The sequence below is a fragment of the Homo sapiens genome, chromosome 9 (genome assembly GCF_000001405.40).
Source record: "Homo sapiens chromosome 9, GRCh38.p14 Primary Assembly".
Lineage (NCBI taxonomy): Eukaryota > Metazoa > Chordata > Mammalia > Primates > Hominidae > Homo > Homo sapiens.
The window spans coordinates 21,628,265-21,630,737 of record NC_000009.12 but is presented as its reverse complement, the minus strand read 5'-3'; the positions used below and the strand labels follow the sequence as shown (position 1 = coordinate 21,630,737).

Below are 2,473 nucleotides of genomic sequence, written 5' to 3'. Positions count from 1 at the left end.
ATTTAGGGAGGAGTTCCACCTCCTTAGTTTTTTGAAACAGTGTCAGTAGAAATGGTACCACCTCTTCTTTGTACATTTGGTAGTATTTGGCTGTGAATTCATCTGGTCCTGGGCCTTTTCCGTTTGGTGTGTTTTTTATTACTGATTCAATTTCAGAACTCATGATTGGTCTGTTCAGGGATTCAGTTTCTTCCTGGTTTAATCTTAGGAGGTTGTATGTTTCCAGGAATGTATCTGTTTATTCTAGGTTTTCTAGTTTGGGTGCATAGAGGTGGTTATAGTAGCCTCTGAAGAATTGTTTATATTTCTGTGAGGCCAGTGTTAATGTCCCCTTTGTCATTTCTGTTTGCGTTTATTAGGATCTTCTCTCTTTTTTATTAGTCTAGCTAGTGGTTGTCAATCTTATTTATTCTTTCAAATAACCATCTTCTGCGTTTGCTGGTTTTTTGTATGGTTTTTTGAGTCTCATTTTCCTTCAGTTCAGCTATTATTTTTGTTATTTCTTATCTTCTATTAGCTTTGTGGTTGGTTTGCTCCTATTTCTCTAGTTCCTCTACGTATGATGTTAGGTTGCTAATTTGAGATCTTTCCAACTGTTTCATGTGGGCATTTAGTGCTATAAACTCTCTTAACACTGCTTTAACTGTGTCTCAGATATTCTGGTATGTTGAGTCTTTGTTCTCATTAGTTTCAAAGAATTTCTTGATTTCTGCCTTAATTTCATTGTTCATCCAGAAGTAATTCAGGAGCAGGTTAATTTCAATGTAACCATATGGTTTTGAGTAATTTTTCTTAGTATTGATTTCTATTTTTATTGCACTGTGGTCCAAAAGTGTATTTGGTATGATTTTGTTTTAGTTTGCTGAGGACTGTTTTATGGCTAACTGTGTGGTCAATTTTACAGTATGTGCCATGTGCAGATGAGGAGAATGTATATTCTGTGTTTTGGGGTGAAGAGTACTGTAAAGGTCTATCAGATCTATTTGTTCCAATGTTGTGTTTAGGTCCTGAGTATCTTTGTTAATTTCCTGAATCTATGATCTGTCTAATACTGTCAGTGGAGTGTTGAAGTCTCCCAATATTATTGTTGGGAGCCTATGTCTCTTTGTAGGTCTCTAAGAACTTGCTTTATTAATTTGGGTACTCCTGTGTTGGGTGTATGTGTATTTAGGATAGTCAGGTCTTCTTGTTGAATTTAACATTTTACCATTATTTAATGCCCTTCTTTGTCTTTTTGATTGTTGTTAGTTTAAAGTCTCTTTTGTATGAAATTAGAATAGCAACCCCTACTCTTTTCTGTTTTTATTTGCTTAGTAGATTTTTCTCCATTCTTTGGATCCAGCTTATGGTGTCTGTATTAGTCAGGGTTCTCCAGAGGAGCAGAACTAATAGGGTATATGTATATATGAAAGGGAGTTTATTAGGGAGAATTGGCTCACACAATCACAAGGCGAAGTCCCATAATAGGCCATTTGCAAGCTAGAGAAGAAAGAAGCCAGTAGTGGCTCAGTCTGAGTCCAAAAGCCTCAAAAGCAGGGAAGCTGACAGTACAGCCTTCAGTCTGTGGCTGAAGGCCTGACAGCCCCTGGCAAATCACTGGCATAAGTCCAAGAATCCAAAGGTCAAAGAACCTCGAGTCTGATGTCCAAAGGCAGGAGGATCAGAAGGAATCATCCAGAATAGGAGACAGATGAAAATCAGAAGACTCAGCAAGTCAGCTTATCCCTCCTTCTTTTGCCTGCCTTGTTCTAGCCATGTTGGCAGCTGATTGGACGGTGCCCACTCACATTGAGGGTGGGTCTTCCTTTCCCAGCCCATTGACTCAAATGTCAGTCTCCTCTGGTAACACCCTCACAGACACACTCAGAAACAATACTTTACCAGCTATTTAGGCATCCATCGATCCAACCAAATTGACACCTAAGATTAACAGTCACAGTGCCATTGAATTTGAGATGGGTCCCTTGTAGACAGCATGCAGTTGGGCCTTGCTTCTTTATCCAACTGTGCCTTTTAATTGGGACATTTAGCCCATTTACATTCAAGGTTAATGTTGATATATGTGAGTTTGATCCTGTCAATGGGTTGTTAGCTACTTATTCTGCAGACTTGATATGTGGTTGTTTTATAGTGTCAATGTCTATGTACTTAAGTGTGTTTTTGTGGTGGCCAGTAATGTTCTTTCCATTCCATATTTAGTACTCCCTTAAGGACTTCTTATAAGGCAGGTCTCTTGTTAATGAATTTCCTCAGCATTTGCTTTGTGAAAATGATCTTATTTCTCTTTCACTTATAAAGCTGAGTATGGCTGGATATGAAATTCTTGGTTGGAATTTCTATTCTTCAACATTGCTGAATATAGGACTCAAATCTCTTCTGGCTTGTAATGTTTCTGGTGAAAGTTCCACTGTTAGCCTAATGGGGTTCCCTTTGTAGGTGACCTGCCTCTTCTCTTTAGCTGCCTTTAACATTT

The 2,473-nt window shown here is 38.4% G+C and overlaps 1 annotated feature.

Annotated features, from left to right (window-relative positions):
* Positions 1,895-2,064: an enhancer, noted in NCBI's record as "experimental_107244 CRE fragment used in MPRA reporter constructs". NCBI's record gives its function as "activates a minimal promoter by MPRAs in K562 erythroleukemia cells, with activity observed for the non-introgressed 9:21628758 variant allele {active_cell/tissue: K562}" and the evidence as "EXISTENCE:reporter gene assay evidence [ECO:0000049][PMID:34662402]".